Raw genomic sequence first — 18,959 nt, forward strand, 5'->3', positions numbered from 1 at the left:
TCGGCTCACTGCCACCTCCACCTCCCAGGTTCAAGTGATTCTCCTGCCTCAGCCTCCCGAGTAGCTGGGATTACAGGTGTGTGCCACCACGCCTGGCTAATTTTTGTATTTACAGTAGAGACAGGGTTCTGCTATGTTAGCCAGGCTGGTCTCAAACTCCTGGCTTCAGGTGATCCACCTGGCTCGGCCTCCCAAAATGCTGGGATTACAGGTGTTAGCCACCGCACCCCACCAAGATAGAAAACTTTAAAAACGCAATCTCACTTTTATGAGAAAGTGCAAAATTGCAAATAAAATGAGACACTGAAATCTGGCAATACATTATGAATCTATGATACAGGATTATCTGTTTGCCTATGAAGGATGAACTGCCAGGGAAGTTGACCTCCTGCCATAAACAATAGAAAACTAGACAAAATATATGAATCAGCTGTTCTTAGACGGTGGGCAGCAGGCAGCACAGGAACTGTGACACCCGAGAGAAGGGAAACAAATGAGCCAAGTGGTAGGATGCCTAAGTTTACCACTGAGGCAGTTTCTATGACATAGAACAGAAAGAGGTCCCCAAATTAAATCCCCTGGGCTGGCTGAGTTGAAGACAGAGATCTAAGGGTTTTTTTTGTTTGTTTGTTTGTTTGTTTTTGTTTTGTTTTTTTTCTTTTTTGAGTTGGAATCTCACTCTTATTGCCCAGACTGGAGTGCAGTGCAGTGGCATGATCTTGGCTCATTGCAACTTTTACCTCCTGGGTTTAAGCGATTCTCCTGCCTCAGCCTCCCAAGTAGCTGGAATTACAGGTGGGAGCCACCACACCCAGCTTATTTTGTATTTTTAGTAGAGACAGGGTTTCGCCATGTTGGCCAGGCTGAACTCCTGACCTCAAGTGATCCACCCGCCTTGGATTCCCAAAGTGCTGGGATTCCAGGCGTGAGTCACCGCGCCTGGCCGAGGGCTTATTTTTTAATGATGTGAGGCAAGGTGGTTAGAATTTGTGCACAGGATACTAGTGAAGGGGAAACCACACAGAAAGATGGGTCTGGAAATTTGCAAAGGGATCTGAGTCTTCAGGTGAGCACTGATCTACTCATGTATGAGAGGAAACCCCACAAGGCCAGGGAAAGCCACTAGAGAGCAGTGGGCCAGACAATTCCAGGATCTTCCCAAGGGCTGAGAAGACTTCTCATTCCAGTCACCCGGCACGGAGAGACCACAGTACATAGGGCATTGGGGACTGTTACCTAAAGAGTGGGAAAAAAAAATTGTCCCACATTAAAGGCTGCTCCGGACCTGCCCTCACAAAGCTTAAAAGCAAGCCTCAAAAGCAAGTGTCAAACCTATCTTAAGTAACTACATGTCAGGACAAAGTTCAACAGTTTTTAATGGAATAGAACAAAATCCAGCACTCAAGAATGTAAAATTCACAATTTTTGGCATCTAGTAAAAAAAAAAAAGAAAGGCATGCAGGAAGGCAGAAAATGGACCCCATAACCAAAATACAAAACAATCCATAGGAACAGACTCAGAAGTGATAGCAATTATGAAATTAGTAGAGAAATATGATAAAATAGTTAGTATAGATATGCTAGGCCAGGTGCGGCTCACACCAGTAATCCCAGCACTTTGGGAGACCAAGGTGGGTGGATCATTTGAGGCCAGGAGTTTGAGACCAGCCTGGCCAACACGGTGGTGGATGCCTGTTACCCCAGCTACTTGGGAGGCTGAGGTAGAAGGATCACTTGAGCCCAGGAGGTCGAGGCTGCAGTAAGCTGAGCTTGTGCCACTGCACTCCACCCTGGGCAATAGAGTGAGACTCTGTCTCAAAAAAAAAAACAAAAAACACCAAAGTGCTGATAACAAATATTTAAAACCAACCAGAAAAAAACAAAAAAAAAGACATTACCTAAGGATGAAAAAAGGTAAGAATGACAGCAAACTTTCCATTACAATCAATGCAAACTATAAAAACAATATAGAGACATCTTTAAAATACTGAATGAACTGTCAACCTGAATTCTGTGCCCCTGAAAAAATCTTTTTTTTTTTGAGACAGAGTCAACCTCCACCCCCTGGGTTCAAGTGATTCTTCCACTTCAGTCTCCCCAGTAGCTGGGATTATAGGTGCCACCACACCCGGCTAATTTTTTGTATTGAGTTGGGGTTTTGCCATGTTGGACAGGCTGGTCTTGAACTCTGACCTCATGTGATCCACCCACCTTGGCCTCCCATAGTGCTGGAATTATAGGCATGAGCCACCATGCCCGACCTACCCCCCAAAATCTTTTTTAAATTATGGTGAAATAAATACTTTCCCACACCAACGAAAGCAGAGAAAATTTATAACTAACAGACCTGCACTCCAAGAAATGCTAAAGGAAGCTCTTAACTGGGTGTAGTAGTCTGTACCTGTAGTCCCAGCTACTCAGGAGGTGGAGGCAGGAGGATCCCTTGAGACCAAGAGTCCAAGTCCAGCCTGAACAACATAGCAAGATTCCATGTCTATAAAAATAAATAAATAAAAATAAAAATAGCTTTAAAAAGGAAGTTCTTGGGGCAGAAGGAAAATGATGATAGATTTAAGCCCAGGCATGTCAATAATTACATTAAATGTGCATGGTCTAACTATGCCATTAAGAGGCAGAGTTTATCAGATTGAATAAAAACAAACTCCAAAAAACAGTACAAGTTCTGACTATAGATTGTCTACAAGAAACCCATTGTCAAGATCTGTGAAAGATCTGAGATTTCATCCTTACTTGCAAGTTACCAAGGCAGCCTGCCATAGCTTCATGGTTGCTGGTTGAAGACATCAGAATCCAGGGCCAGAGCTGAAGGGCAATTTATCACTCACAGCAACAGCAACAGCCAGACTACCAACATTTTTGCACGAGTTCTCAAAGTCTTAATCCCACAGGGCAATGTGGAGGGTCAGATGACTCCAGTGCACACAGAAGGCTGCATTATAGGTGTGTAGGGAGTTGGGAATCTTATCATTTATAATGGGCAGTGAGCACACCTGCCCTTTGCTCTATCTTCCAAGACAACGAACTTACTCTTGTCTCTAGAGGGAGACACTATATTTTCCATGTGGTTGGCCATTCAAACATCCTATATGAAAACAGTCCAGAGCCAGGCGTGGTGGCTCACACCTGTAATCCCAGCACTTTGGGGGCCAAGGCGGGTGGATCACTTGGGGCCAGGAGTTCGAGACCAGCTTGCCCAACATGGTGAAATCCCGTCTCTACTAAAAATACAAAAATGAGCCTGGCGTGGTGGCAGGCGCCTGTAATCCCAGTTACTCGGGAGGCTGAGGCAGGAGAATCACTTGAGCCCGGGAGGCAGAGGTTGCAGTGAGCTGAGATTGCACCATTGCACTCCAGCCTGGATGACAAGAGCGAAACTCTATCTCAAAAAAAAAAAAAAAGAGAAAACATAGTGTAGAATAGAGGGTATTTGTTGCACTCACAAAATGTACAGAACAATGGAGAATTGTCTCTGTTTCTCATTAATTGTTGCAGTTTTGATAATTTGCAACAAATACTTTTTTTTTTTTTTTTTTTTTGAGACGTGGTCTTGTTCTGTTGCCAAGGCTGGATGCAATGGCCTGATCATGGCTCACTGCAGCCTCAACCTCCTGGGCTCAAGTGATCCTCCCACCTCAGCCTCCCAAGCAGCTGGGACAACAGGTGTGCACTACTACATCTGGCTAATTTTTGTATTTTTTGTAGAGACAGAGTTTCTCCATGTTGCCCAGGCTGGTCTTGAACTCCTGGGCTCAAGCAATCTGCCCACTTTGGCCTCCCAAAGTGCTGAGATTATAGGCGTGAGCCACCATGCTTGGCCAACAAATACAATAGATTACTCCTATGTACAAAATTTTTGTCTTCAGAAACATGATCTACCCTACACCACCCCCCAACCCATACCCCTGACAGCCCCCCACCCCCGCACTGCACGCCCCCCTGCAAATCTGATGCAGCTACAGTAGGAGCCAGCTTTGTTTAAATGTCTGTATCCATCTAGGACCAATCCAGAGAGAGAAAAACCATATAGTAATTTGAACAGGAAAAGCTTACTATAAAGAATTATTCTCTATAGCAGGAGATTGGCATGATTATGCAATAATATATGTGTTACCAACTCCATACTCCGTGGGCTGAGATCCATGGCTCAGTCATGGCTACTGAACGGCGGACAAGTTGCTGTGATGCCATAATGGTGAAACTTGCTAGAAATCAGTCCTGTAGGGTGCTGGGGAAAGCTGTTTATGGGAAGATGTCTCACTACCGCGCCTTGGCTACAAACCACCTTAGGAGGTTGCAGGGGAAAGCCACTGGCCACTGAGTGTTGCTGGCTGTGTATGGCAGCAGGAGGGCCCTGGAGAACCTGTGAGCCAAAGGCGCTGGGGGCCAGCGAAACCACGCGCCCCTGCCAACCCCGCTGAGACTCCACCGAGCCGGAGGCAAAACTCTTTCTCCTGCAATGTTTCTCGAGCGCCCTCTACTGGCAAAACTTCGGTGCCAACGGCAAATTCTTGAAAAGGTTCAGATTTATTTTCGCAAAGCAGTCAAATAAGGTGAATTCAGAGGTGAGAGGCAATAAATCAATAACTGGTATAGAGTCCAACAGGTAAATAAACCCAAACCTTTTATTCTTGCAAATCTAGGCTTCGTTTCCTTGTTTTTAAAATGGTGGGAGAAGTAGGGAAAGAAAAGACAAATTTGAAATTTCTATCATATTTCATTAGTTTTAAACCAAATGAATGCTGAACTTCTCTTTTCCATTCTTTCCTCTTATTACATTAACTCTGACATCTCGTGACTGTTGTCAGTCTTCGGAAAGCAAGTATAGATAAAATTTTGTTCACAGTTCCTTTTGCTCAAGTTTGTTAGAATTGTTCCAGAAAGGTAGGGATGTGTTTGTGTGTGTGGGGTGTGTGTGTGTGTGTGTGTGTGTGTATGGTCAGCCTAGAGAGGTGATATGTAGCTCATCTTTTTTTTTTTTTTCTTTAAGACAGAGTTTCTGTCTTGTTGCCCAGGCTGGAGTGCAATGGCGTGATCTTGGCTCACTGCAACCTCCGCCTCCCAGGTTCAAGTGATTCTTCTGTCTCAGCCTCTCGCGTAGCTGGGATTACAGGCATATGCCACCATGCCCAGCTAATTTTTGTAGTTTTAGTAGAGATGGGGTTTCATCATATTGGTCAGGCTGGTCTCGAACTCCTGACCTCAGGTGATCCGCCTGCCTTGTCCTCCCAAAGTGCTGGGATTACAGGCGTGAGCCACCACACCCGGCCAGCTCATCTTATTTTAGAGGTGGGATCTCAGTATATTGCCCAGGTTAAAGTGCAGTAGCTTCACAGGCACCATCATTGTGCACTACCTCCTTGAACTCCTGGGGTCAAGAGATCCTCCTACCTCAGCCTCCTGAGAAGCTGGGGCTACAGGTGCCCACCACCATGCCGGCCTCATGATTTATAGCTCATCTTATGGGTCCCTGGTGGAGGCAAGAAATAAAAAGAAAAGCAGTAGCTCTTGCCAGGTCCTCTCCTTCTCTTCCCTTTAAGAACCTGCTTTGAGGGGCACTTTCTGATTCCCCCTCTCTCTCTGACACTTGCTGCAGGGGCCCCACAGATCACTCTCCTGGGCATTGTGTGATGATTGGCGGCCATGTCTCTCAGGGCAAATGATCGTTTTTTCGCTTTCTCTTTCCTACTTTTCCCTCTCTTCACACTTTCATGCTTTTACTCTCATGAGTAATAAACAGCACTAATATTAACAACAATAATATCTGGAGTTTGTCTCACTTTCCTGTTTTTCATTCTTTCGTCTCTAAGACCCAGTCACTGAGGGCTCAGAGGCTCCCGAGGACCTCTGCTGAGGAATAGTCCCAGGGAATTGTTTGCTCCCAGGAATCCTGTTTCTGCAAGAACAACCTCTTCAGTCTTTCTGTTGTTGTTTGTTTGTTTGTTTGTTTGTTTTTGAAACGGAGTCTCGCTCTGTCGCAGAGGCTGGAGTGCAGTGGCGCAATCTCTGCTCACTGCAAGCTCCGCCTCCCGGGTTCATGCCATTCTCCTGCCTCATGAGGCCTCCCGAGTAGCTGGGACTACAGGCACCCACCACCACGCCTAGATAATTTTTTTTTTCTGTATTTTTAGTAAAGACGGGGTTTCACCATGTTAGCCAGGATGGTCTCCATCTCCTGACCTCGTGATCCGCCCACCTTGGCCTCCCAAAGTTCTGGGATTACAGGCATGAGCCACCAAGCCCAGCTTGCCTCTTCGGTCTTTCTACACTGATTAAATGTCCTCAAAGAACTCCTTGCCTAGCTTGAAGGGTAGGGGCCTTGATACATGGTGATGGTCCCAGACATCTGGGAAAGACATCTATTATTATTATTTTATTATTTTTTTGAAATGGAGTTTCACTCTTGTTGCCCAGGCTGGAGTGCAATGGCGTGGTCTTGGCTCACTGCAACCTCTGCCTCCTGGGTTCCAGCAATTCTCCTGCCTCAGCCTCTTAAATAGCTGGGATTACAGGCGCGCACCATCATGCCCAGCTAATTTTGTGTTTTTAGTAGAGACGGGGTTTCACCATGTTGGCCAGACTGGTTTCAAACTCCTGACCTCAGGTGATCCACCCATCTCAGCCTCCCAAAGTGTAGGGATTACAGGCATGAGCCACCATGCCCAGCCTATTATTGTTGTTGTTATTATTATTATTATTATTATTATTATTATTATTTTAAGATAGAGTCTTGCTCTGTCACCCAGGCTGGAGTGCGGTGGTGTAATCTCAGCTCACTGCAACCTCACCTCCCAGGTTCAAGCAATTCTCCTGCCTCAGCCCTCCAAGTAGCTGGGACTACAGGTGTGTGGCACCACACCCGGCTAATTTTTGTATTTTTTAGTAGAGACGGGGTTTGTCATGTTGCCCAGGCTGGTCTTGAACTCCTGGCCTCAAGTAATCTGCCCATGTTGGCCTCCCAAAGTGCTGGGATTATAGGCGTGAGTCACCGCGCCCGACCAGAAAGACATAGTCTTAACAAGAGCAAGTAGCTTTATTTGCCAACGACCAGTTTGGGCTTAGTTCATCGGAAAAGGCTATTGCCTACCTTGGATGAAAGAGCCTGGGACTGGCTGCCCCTGTGTCCCTCCCCGGAGCCTGCTTGTCTATTAGAAGAGGCTGGAAGGTGGGCCTTTGGTCTTAGCAGGGATAGCCCTGCAGTTTCTCTCCACGCTTGGTCCCAGGAAGTCTCCCTTCTAGTTAAGAGGCTGGTGGTGCTGGACTCCTTACCTGGAGAGTATACCTCCTCAACTCCAGTAGCTCAACTCCTGACCTTTGGAAACAGATTAAATACCACCATTTCTATAAAACCTTCCAATGCAAAGTAGTCACTCCTATTTCCTATAATTTACTTCACTTGGGAGGACTATAACTTTCTGCCCTACTTTTTTTTTTTTTTTTTTGAGGAAGGGTCTTGATCCTTTGCCCAGGTTGTAGTGCAGGGGTGTAATCATAGTTCACTGCAGCCTTGACCTCTCAGGCTCAAGCAATCCTCCTACCTCAGCCTCCCACTTAGCTGGGACTACAGGTGCTCACCACCATGCCTGGCTAATTCTTTTTTGTATTTTGTAGAGATGAGGTCTTGCTATGTTGCCCAGGCTGGTCTCGAACTCCTGAGCTCAAGGAATCCTCCCACCTGGGCCTCTCAAAATGTTGGGATTACAGGCATGAGCCACCGTGCCCAGCCCAGGTACCCTACTTCTGTAGTTGCTTACTTATATTTGTATCTTCCAGGTAGACCATAAGGCATTCATTTTTGCCCTTTCAAAGCAGTTTGTAAGTAAATAATGGCAAAAACCACAATTTTGCACTGACCTTAATATTTGTTTGGTCAGTGAAGGAGTGAATTACATTGGCTTCCATCATTTTCTTTCCTTTCATCTTCCTCTGCAGCCCCTCCTGCGCATCTTCCTTTCCACCTTTCAGCCAAAAATGCTCCTGCTCACTCAGAAATGCCACTTTCACTATCATGTCCACAGCATGGCATTTTCTTAAGGGGAGCCCCCACTACCTGGGCTGGAGTTAGACACATGCCTGGCAGGCAGCAGAAATAGAAGTGCTTAAGTCCCTGATACACATGCAGGATATTCACAATACCCAGAGAAGCCTCGCCACAGCATCTGCCAATGCACTGCAGAGGCTGCAGGGGTGTCCCGCGGGTCTATCCGGCATCCATCCACACCTCTTCAGAAACTCTCGAATTTCCTGAGGCCAGACCACGGGGCAGTGTGTTTTGTGATGGAGCCCTAGATCGCAGGTTGGCCAACCCAAGTGCATGTTCCGACTCCACTACCTACTGGTTGGGAGTCTCAGGAGATTCTGGACAATGAAGAGAACCAGGGAATGAGGGGTCCACCAGAGGCTGAACTCACCATTCAGCAGCACAGATTCTGACAACAGAACAGGGCGTTAGAGGGAGTCAGTGGGCTGGTGGGCACTGGATGCAAGAGGACCCCACAGGGGTCGATGAATCCAGGGATCTGAGTCTAGACTGTGAGGTCAGCTTCCTGGTGATTGGAGCTTTGTTGTATTGTGAGAGAGCTCATTGATTCCGCATGAGCTGCCCTCCATTTGGCCAGCTGCACCCAAGGCCTCAGCATGCTGAATCCAGAGCAGTCTAATAATCAAGAAGCCCCATTTCTACCTTGTCCACCGCTTACTCACGTGCTCCTACCACATGGCCTGGCGACCGTGGGCTCAGTTGGAAGTCCTGGATTTTACCCATCTGTTGACCCCTGGCCTCCACACCATTAGTTCCTGCCACACTGCACATACTTCATAAATATACACGAATTGAATTGAAATATGTTCTTTGTAGGGCAGTTTGGAAAAGGGTAGATTCAGAGAAGGCACTTACTTTTTAGGAAGTATCATTTTCTGTGTTTTCGTTTTGTTTTTAAATTCCAAGAGGAATTTAAAAATCCTCTTGTTCAGACCACATAGAAACTATTAAGAGAGAGCTCGTCTCTATGAGAAACCACTGGCAAGAGGGTGCTGGGCCGAGGGCGCCGGTGTCTCTGTGGAAAAGGCAAGTAGACAGTCCAAATCAGGAGCGGGACAATGGCCAGCTGTGGAACAAGAGAACAAACAGTGAAAAGCGAACTTTCACAGGGAGAAGGCAAAGCAATTGCCGTGGTTACTCCCTCGCTTGGGAGGTCATCGCAGCTGCTTAGCTCAGGGTCTGGGGCCCCCCAGTGGGAGAAACATTCTGCTTTCTCTGCAGGAGGTTTGTGCGTAGGCGTTTCTGATGATGAAAGTACGCAGTTTATTATCATTATAGCATATTTACAAACGTTGGAAAAAAGTCAGAGAAAAAAGTTATGTGAATTTCATCAGCTAAAAATGTCTAATGAGGAAAGACTAAGAAAACTGATACTACAGTTATGTGTCGCTTAACGACAGGGATGCATTCTGAGAGCAGAGTTGCCGGGTGATTTCATTTTTGTGTGAACATCATGAAAAGTTCATAGAAGGTTAATAGCCTATATAATAGGTGACAGAATCATTGACTTAAGTTATGTCCAATTTTTCAATAATATAAATAATGCCAACATAAGTTTGTGCTCACAGTTTTTCTGTATTTCGTATTATTTGCCTTAGGTAAGATTCTCTGAAATGGGACAAACAAAAAAGACTCCTGATACCTGTTGTCAATTTTTCTTTTTCTTTTTTTTGGAGACAGAGGCTCGCTCTGTCACCCAGGCTGGAGTGCAGTGGCACAATCTCAGCTCACTACAGCCTCCACCTCCCGGGTTCAAGCAATTCTCCTGCCTCAGCCCCCAGCCTAGACAGGGAATTTCAAAGACCTGTGATGACTATGGTAAAGGCTCTAGAGAAGAAGGTGGACAACATGCATGAACAGATGGGAAATTGCAGCACAGAGATGAAAACAGCAAGAAAGAGTCAAATAAAAGTGCTAGAGGCCGGGTGCAGTGGCTCTTGCCTGTAATCCCAGCACTTTGGGAGGCTGAGGCGGGCAGATCACGAGGTCAGGAGATCGAGACCACCCTGGCTAACATGGTGAAACCTCATCTCTACTAAAAATACAGAAAATTAGCTGGGCGTGGTGCCAGGCGCCTGTAGTCCCAGCTACTCCGGAGGCTGAGGCAGGAGAATGGCGTGAACCCGGGACGCGGAGCTTGCAGTGACCCAAGATCGGGCCACTGCACTCCAGCCTGGGGGACAGAGCGAGACTCTGTCTCAAAAAAAAAAAAAAAAAAAGTGCTAGAAAGGCCTGGTGTGGTGGCTCACACCTGTAATCCCAGCACTTTGGGAGGCCAAGGTGGGTGGATCACTTGAGGTCAGGAGTTTGAGACTAGCCTGGCCAACATGGTGAAACCCTGTCTCTACTAAAAATACAAAAATTACCCGGGTGTGGTGGCATGCACCTGTAATCCCAGCTACTCAGGAGGCTGAGGCAGGAGAATCGTTTGAACCCAGGAGGCGGAGGTTGCTGTGAGCCGAGATTGTGCTATTGCACTCCAGCTTGGGTGACAGAGTGAGACTCCATCTCAAAAAAAAAGAAAAAGGAAGGAAGGAGGGAGGGAAGGAAGGAAGGAAGGAAGGAAGGAAGGAAGGAAGGAAGGAAGGAAGGAAGGAAAGAAACAAAGAAAGAAAGTCAAGTAAAGTGCTAGAAAGGGCTGGGTTCGGTGGCTTAAACCTGTAATCCCAGCACTTTGGGAGGCTGAGGCAGGCGGAACACCTGAGGTCAGGGATTTGAGACCAGCCTGAGCAACATGGAGAAACCCTGTCTCTACTAAAAATACAAAATTAGCTGAGCATGGTGGCGTATGCCTGTAGTCCCAGCTACTCAGGAGGCTGAGGCAGGAGAATCACTTGAACCCGGGAGGCGGAGGTTGCGGTGAGCTGATATCGCGCCATTGCACTCTAGCCTGGGCAACAAGAGAGAAACTCTGTCTCAAAAAAAAAAAAAAAAAAAAAAAGTGCTACAAAGGCCAGGCAGGGTGGCTTACATCTGTAACACCTGTAATCCCAGAACTTTGGGAGGCTGAGGCGCAGGCAGAGGATTACTTGAGGTCAGGAGTTTGAGACCAGCCTGGCCAACATGGTGAAACACCATCTCTACTGAAAATACAAAAATTAGCCAGGTGTGGTGGTGCATGCCTGTAATCCCAGCTATTCAGGAGGCTGAGGCAAGAAAATCACTTAAATGCTGGAGGCCGAGGTTGCATTGAGCTGAGATCAGGCCACTGCACTCCAGCCTGGGTGACAAAGCCAGACTTTCTCAAACATAAATAAATAAATAAGTGCTAGAAATTAAACAGCTGGTGCCAGAGATTCTTCAATAAACTTACCACACGACTCAACAGAGCTGGTGAAAGGATCAGCGAAGGTAGGTTAATAGAAATTATCCAACTATTCATCTTTGTCCTGGGCTAGGTAAAAAAAGAAAAGAAAGAAAAGGAAAAGAAATAACTCAACTAAAAATTCAGAGATCTTTACAAAATCACTAAGATAATTTATTTTTGGAGTTCTGTTGTGTTCTTTGCCTCCCTATTATTCCTTGCCTCCTCCTATTTTCCCTCAAAACTCTTTTTTTTTTTTAAAGACGGTCTCATTCTGTCGCCCAGGCTGGAGTGCAGTGGCGTGATCATACCTCACTGCAGCCTAGAACTCCTGGGCTCAAGCAATCCTCCTACCTTAGCCTCCCAAAATGCTGAGATTACAGGTGTGAGCCACCATGCCTACTTAATTTAAAATAAATTTTTTGTTGAAGAGACAGGGTCTTGGCCGGGTGTGGTGGCTCATGCCTGTAATCCTAGCACTTTGGGAGGCCAAAGCAGGAGGATCACTTGATCCCAGGAGTTCAAGACCAGCCTGAACTCTACTTATTTTATTTATTTAGGGAGCAACATAGGGAGATCCTGTCTGTACTTATTTTATTTATTTAATTTTTTTTTTTTTTTTGAGACTGAGTCTCGCTCTGTCACCCAGGCTGGAGTGCTGTGGCACGATCTCGGCTCACTGCAACCTCTGCCTCCTGGGTTCAAGCAATTCTCTTGCCTCAGCCTCCTGAGTAGCTGGGATTATAGGCATGTGCCACCACGCCCAGCTAATTTTTATACTTTTAGTAGAGACAGGGTTTCACCATGTTGGTCGGGCTGGTCTCGAACTCCTGACCTCGTGATCCACCTGTCTTGGCCTCCCAAAGTACTGGGATTATAGGCGTGAGCCACCACGCCCGGCCATTTATTTATTTTTTGAGAATGGGTTATGAAACTGGCTAATTTTTCGTATTTTTCGTAGAGACCAGATTTTTCAATTTGTCCAGGCTGCTCTCCAATTCCTGGCCTCAAGTGACCCATCTGCCTCAGCTTCCCCAAATGCTGGGATTACAGGTGTAAGTCACTGCACCTGGCCCCTTTCACCCATTTCTTATGAGCCTAGTAGCTTCTTTTTTTTTTTTTTTTTTTTTTTTTTTAGACAGAGTCTTGCTCTGTCGCCCAGGCTGGAGTGCAGTGGCATTCACTGCAACCTCTGCTCCCAGGTTCAAGTGATTCTCCTGCCTGAGCCTCCCTGAGTAGCTGGGATTACAGGCATGTGCCACCACGCCTAGCTACTTTTTTTGTATTTTTAGTAGAGATGGGGATTCACCGTGTTGGCTAGGCTGGTCTAAACTGCCTGACCTCAAGTGATCCACCAGCCTCCACCTCCTGAAGTGCTGGGATTACAGGCGAGAGCCACCTCACCCACCCCCAGTAGGTTCTTTAATTCTCTTCTGAAACTAGTGAGGTATCTTGTTTCAGGTCTTACTATGTTGGCTCTTTTTCCTTGAACAGTGTTAAATAATCTTATTTAATTGAATCTAGGGCCAGTCGTGGTGGCTCACACCTATAATCCCAGCACTTTGGGAGGCCGAGGTGGGTGGATCATTTGAGATTGGGAGTTTGAGACCACCCTGGGCAACATGGTGGGCGAAACCCCATCTCTACAAAAAATACAAAAATTAGGTGGTGTTGTGTGTCTATAGACCCAGCTACTCGGGAGGCTAATGTAGGAGGATCACCTGAGCCCAGGCAGGGTGAGGCTGCAGTGTGCCGTGATCATGCCACTATACTCCAGCCTGGGCGACAGAGTGAGACGCTGTCTCAAAAAAAAAGAATCTAAATGTCTTCAGTTGTTGAAAGATGAACTTTTCTTTTTCTTGAGATGAAATTTCACTTGTTACCCAGGCTAGAGTGCAATGGCGCGGTCTCAGCTCACTGCAACCTCCGCCTCCCATGTTCAAGTGATTCTCCTGCCTCAGCCTCCCAAGTAGCTGGGATTACAAGCACCTACCACCATGCCTAGCTAATTTTTGTGTTTTCAGTAGAGACGGGGTTTCTCCATGTTGGCCAGGCTTGTCTCAAACTCCTGACCTCAGGTGATCCACCTGCCTCAGCCTCCCAAAGTGCTGGAATTACAGGTGAGCCACTACACCAGGCCGAAATATTAACTTTTTTTTTCTTTTGAGACTTTTTGCTCTTGTTGCCCAGGCTGGAATGCAGTGGCCGATATTGAACACCTCCCGGGTTCAAGCAATTCTCCTGTCTCAGCCTCCCGAGTAGCTGGGATTATGGCACATACCACCATGCCTGGCTAATTTTTGTATTTTTAGTAGAGATGGAGTTTCATCATATTGGTCAGGCTGGTCTCGAACTCCTGACCTCAGGTGATCCACCCACCTCAGCCTCCCAAAGTGCTGGGATTACAGGCGTGAGCCACTTCACCCGGCCGAAAGATGAACTTTTATTTTATAACCCATAATAATGAAAAAGATGCTGCCAATTTAACCATGACAACCTCATCCTATCACTTAGAATTTAACTTTTTATATTTATTGAAAGAGCTATTTTAGACTTGCTAGACATAAATTTTAATCATATATCACTCTTGTGAAAAAGAAAATACGAGAGAAATAATTTGGTTAAGGTGTTCCTAAAATTCACACTCAGAATCCAGTGCTAATGAATCACTTTTTGACTTGGAGTTTTCAATGTCTGTGTTTCTATTATTATTATTATTATTTTTTTTTTTTGACGAAGTCTTGCTCTGTGGCCAGGCTGGAGTGCCGTGATGCAATCTCGGCTCACTGCAACCTCCACCTCCTGGGTTCAAGTGATTCTCCTGCCTCAGCCTCCTGGGTAGCTGGGACTACAGGTGCCCACCACCATGCCTGGCTAATTTTTGTATTTTTAGTAGAGATGGGGTTTCACCATGTTGGCCAGTATGGTCTCGATCTCTTGACCTCGTGATCCACCTGCCTGGGCCTCCCAAAGTGCTGGGATTACAGGCATGAGCCACCATGCCTGGCCAATGTCTGGGTTTTTTTTTTTTTTTTGAGACGGAGTTTTGCTCTTGTTGCCCAGGCTGGAGTGCAATGGCATCATCTCCGGCTCACCACAACCTCCGCCTCCTGGGTTCAAGCAATTCTCCTGCCTCAGCCTCCCGAGCAGCTGGGATTACAGGCATGTGCCACCACACCCAGCTAATTTTGTATTTTTAGTAGAGATGGGGTTTCTCCATGTTGGTCAGGGTGGTCTTGAACTCCCAGCCTCAGGTGATCTGCCCGCCTCAGCCTCCCAAAGTGCTGGGATTACAGGTGTGAGCCACTGCGCCCAGCTGTCTGTGTTTTTTGTGTAATATTATCCTCTTTGTCTTAAGAATATTGGTGATCTGGGAATTAAAGAGTGCTTCAATTGTAGCCATTGAAATGCAAAGGATAGGAAAGAAAAGGAGAGGGGAGGGAAGGGGAGGGGAGGGGAGAAGGAGGGAGGGGGGAGGGGAGAGGAGGAGAGGAGAGGGAAAAAGAGTGCTCCATTATTGTCTCTGGGGTTTTCCTCCAAGATATTCAGAATCATTCTATATGTTTTTATTCTAGTACATTTTGGTTTTACTGGGTGTCCAGACAAGTACCAGAACTCATATTTCTCCTCTGAATTGACTTCATTGACTGAAATGTTAAGAATTTTAGTCATATTTCATTGTCCAGTCACACGTCTTCTCTTCCGACTTGTGAAGTGTTTTTTTTTTTTTTTTTTTTTTTTTTTTGGTAGAGACAGTGTCTTGCTATGTTGCCCAGGTTGGTCTTGAACTCCTGGTCTCAAGCAATCCTCCTGCTTCAGCCTCCCAAAGTGCTGGGATTAGAGGCATGAGCCACAGTGCCCAGCCTTGGTTTGTGTAGTTTTTGACTGGAGGATTGCACCAGCTGGGCATGGTAGTACACAACTGTAATCTCAGCTTCTTGGGAGGCTGAGGTGGGAGGATTGCTTAAGGCCAGGAGTTCAAGACCAGCCTGGGCAACATAGCAAGACTCCATCTCTAAAAAATAAAAATCAAAAGAAGATTGCAGTCATTCTTATGCCGTTCACCTGTGTGTAATGCGTCATCTTTCTCTGGCTGCTTTTATGGTTTCCCTTTTCATCACTGGCATTCATCCATTTGATTGTGGTGCGTCTTGGTGCGTGTATGTTGATGTGTCTATAAGTAAATGAGTGTGGGTGGTGCATGCGTTTTATCCTACTTGAGGCTTGTGAGCTTCTTGGATCTGTGGATGTATATCATTCATCAGATTTGGAAAATTTTGTCTTTATTTCATTAAATATTGCTGTTATGCCATAGTTCACCTCTTTCTTCACAGATCTATTTCTTCACATATATTCGGGTCTGCTCCTCTGTGATTTCTGTGGACTTCTCTTTCTTGGGGAAAACTGAGAAGAGAGAATTCAGTGGGATGAACTGTAGTCGCCATCAATGCCATTGGTCTTGAGACCACAACTGGCACTTGCCTTCTTTCTCCCCCTCCATTCATTCTAAATTCCCCTCATCCTCAGCAATCACCTCAGGAGGCCTTGGCTTCCCTGGGGGTGTGACCCAAATCTTCATTCCTGAGGGCTCTGAGTCTTTCAGTCCAGATTTGCTGCATGTGTCCATTCACAGTTACAATGGATCCAGGCAATTCTGGGATGCACTGGACAGCCCTACTTCCTCCTGCCAATCAGGGTTAATTGCCCTGCCACTGTAGTGACTCTTCTCACCTGCTGGTTCTGGGCATGTGAAGTCCTAAGTGTGCCAGTGGCGGCCGTAACTTGTAGTTCAATGGACCCTTACCATGTCCACTGGCAAGTGTGCTCCCTTCGAGATCAGGACCTCCAACGCTGCAGCACCCAGAGTTTCGGGGATGACAAGGATAAAATTCCCCAGTGGGCTATTGGGAATCATGTTGAAAGGGGCCATTCCTGCTTCCATCCCTTGAGTCCCAGATCCACATATTCTCTGATTAAGGACACAGTGCCATTTAGAGGTTTCTGATTTAGTGCATAAGTTGAATCCTGAAGGAGTATGCCTCCGAGCTAGCACTTCCCGTTGTTTTTCAGGAAGCTGCTCCCAAGCTCTGTGAGGCCAGCTGCTTCAACCTGGAGCAGTCTGTCATATGACCATGGACCCTATGGCCAGGGGCCCCCTCCTGCCCCACCTTCACTAGGAAGTTGGGCCTCTTGTCAGATATTCTGCTCCTTGTAATTCTGTGTTTGTGAATCAGGAATCCCCCAAGCCTGGCAGAGGATCTGTGGTCAGGGAAGGTCAATCCATGCCCGGGTATCTAAAGCGGTGAGGATGAACTGCTGACCCTCCAAGATTGAAGGGGCACGATGTGTTTGCCTTTCACAGATCTGGTCTGGAGATATAGCGCCATACTGGGGCTCAGTATTGGTCCCTGTTGCTCACAAGTTGGACATTCGGAGGCAGCAATGGCTAGCTCTGCCTTGGTAAGTGAAAATCCACGTTGTTGGGCCCAAGCAGAGCCCCGTCTCTGCCACCATGGGCATGCCATTCATGTCTCCAGCCGTTCTGGGGTGACTGAAGGTGGCTCATGTCCACTGGCAAGTCATTTTGTCTACTTGGTTGTTCAGTGCGTCTCTTGTGGTAGATGTTTCCAGTGGGCATTAACATGCAAATCAGAAGTCCTTGAACTGTCTACCCATTTCCATATGCACATCCACATGCCTCTTTCTCAGGATTCCTTGTCTCCAATCTTCCAATCTGTTTCCTTCCAAGTCCCTGACCAGATGCTCAGACCATTGGTCATTGGCCAGGAATTTGTACATATTTTCCCTTCAGGCCACTTTTCCTCACACGTATCTACTCCTTGCAGCTTCCCCCATTGAGAACATTGTTCCCTCTTTCCGGGCCACCCGTCAGTGTGGCTAATGTCCGCTTTTAGCTCTACCCATGAACTGAGCAGATCCATCTGTAAACCAAGCTTGGGCTTTTTCCTTCTTATTTAGCCAGTCATATGGACTCTCCCTAGTAGGCTGTACACATAACCAGGGGAGGGCATGGGTGCATCTGTTATGGGTGACATGGGCCTCTGGGCTTCTTGCTCATGCAGCTTACTCATGCCCTGTGGCCCCTCCAGGACCCAATCCTGATGGATCACTTCCATTTTATGATTGCTGCTGGACACATGTGACTTTATGACTTGTTGGGTCCAACAGAACCCAGTTCCCAGCAGTCACTTATGGACGTGTGGTCACATGGTGTTTGGTAGCCAAGGGTTCTATCTCCACCAGGCTCCAGTAACAGTTGCTTCTCAAACAGCATAAGCTGCTCTGCTGTGGATATCATGGTCTTGCTCCAGAATCCCAGGAGGCTGCGATCTGATTCTTCCACCAGAGCTCGCCATTACCCATCCCCTCACGCTGCCTCCTTTCCAACTGCTGACTACCCCTACCCCACCAACACCATAGGGTCTGAAGATCAGATGGTCCAAGTTGCAGTGTGGTTTGCACTGTGGCCTGGACCTGTCACATAACCCTTTCCTGCTCCAGGCCTCACTCAAAGCTGGAAGCCTTCTGTGTCACCTGGTTTACAGGCTGGAGAAGTATTCCTGCATGTGGAAGGCACTGAATAGTAGTCCTCAGAGTGTAGGGTGTTACCTGCAAAACTCAAATAGCTCTACCAGGAGCTGTGCCTCCTTGTTTGTGGTAGGAGATTCCAGATGCAGCAATTTGCCTTTCACTTTGAAGTGGTTATCTTGGCATGCCCTCCATCACTGGACCTCTCAAAATGTCACTGAAGCAGCCAGTCCCTGAGTCATCATAGCATTTACTTCCCACGAGCTTACCAAGACTTCTGGTATATGAGCCTCTCATCTGTCCTGTGCAATCAGCACAACGTCACTGATAGAATGGGTCAGCGTCATGTTCTGCTTGATGTCTGCGTGGTCCAGGTTCTCTTTGGACTATATCATGACAGATGTTGGGAAACTTAATATAGTCCTGAAATAAACTATAAATGAATATTCCTGTTTCTCTTGTTTGAAAGCAAATATTTCTGGTTCTCTTTTCTAATTACAATGGAAAGGAATGCACTTGCCAAATCACTGGCTGCATCACCACGTACCTGATGCCTAGTCTGCCACGGTGACAATATCACATCCAGCCTTGCAGTGCAATCAGAAATGAAGTTGGTTACATCTGTGGTAGCCTACAGTCATTCTCCGGGGTGCAAAAGCAGGGATCACCCTGCAAATGCTAAGGGCCAGCACTCTGTATTCTATATGAAGGTCTTTAATGGTGCTCATCTGCACTGCCCCACTCCACTCCAAGGCAGTACAGGCCAGCAACCCAACATGAGGATTATTCCAACTGCCAAGCATAAAATTCCTGTTGTATAATCAGGGACTTGGGAAAAGCCAACTGGGACCATGGAACCACTGGGCCCACTGTGAATGGGACTTCAGCCAGTACTCCATTGATCACTTGGCCCCCAATCTAGCAGGGGCTCGGGATAACGCTCATGTTTTCAGGTATCAATGTCAACTCAGACCCTGTGCCAAGAATCCTTTAAATGTCTCCCAGTGTATAGTCACCTGAGTAAATGACCATAGCTCCCTTTAGGGA

At 46.8% G+C, this 18,959-nt stretch overlaps 2 annotated features.

The window, feature by feature from the left end:
• Positions 4,336–4,630: a silencer, noted in NCBI's record as "tiled region #5072; K562 Repressive DNase matched - State 8:EnhW". NCBI's record gives its function as "represses a minimal TATA promoter and a strong SV40 promoter by Sharpr-MPRA in K562 cells {active_cell/tissue: K562}" and the evidence as "EXISTENCE:reporter gene assay evidence [ECO:0000049][PMID:27701403]".
• Positions 4,374–4,433: a silencer, noted in NCBI's record as "silent region_19267". NCBI's record gives its function as "represses an Ori minimal core promoter by ATAC-STARR-seq in GM12878 lymphoblastoid cells {active_cell/tissue: GM12878}" and the evidence as "EXISTENCE:reporter gene assay evidence [ECO:0000049][PMID:35858748]".

The sequence above is a fragment of the Homo sapiens genome, chromosome 8 (genome assembly GCF_000001405.40).
Source record: "Homo sapiens chromosome 8, GRCh38.p14 Primary Assembly".
NCBI classification, from domain to species: domain Eukaryota; kingdom Metazoa; phylum Chordata; class Mammalia; order Primates; family Hominidae; genus Homo; species Homo sapiens.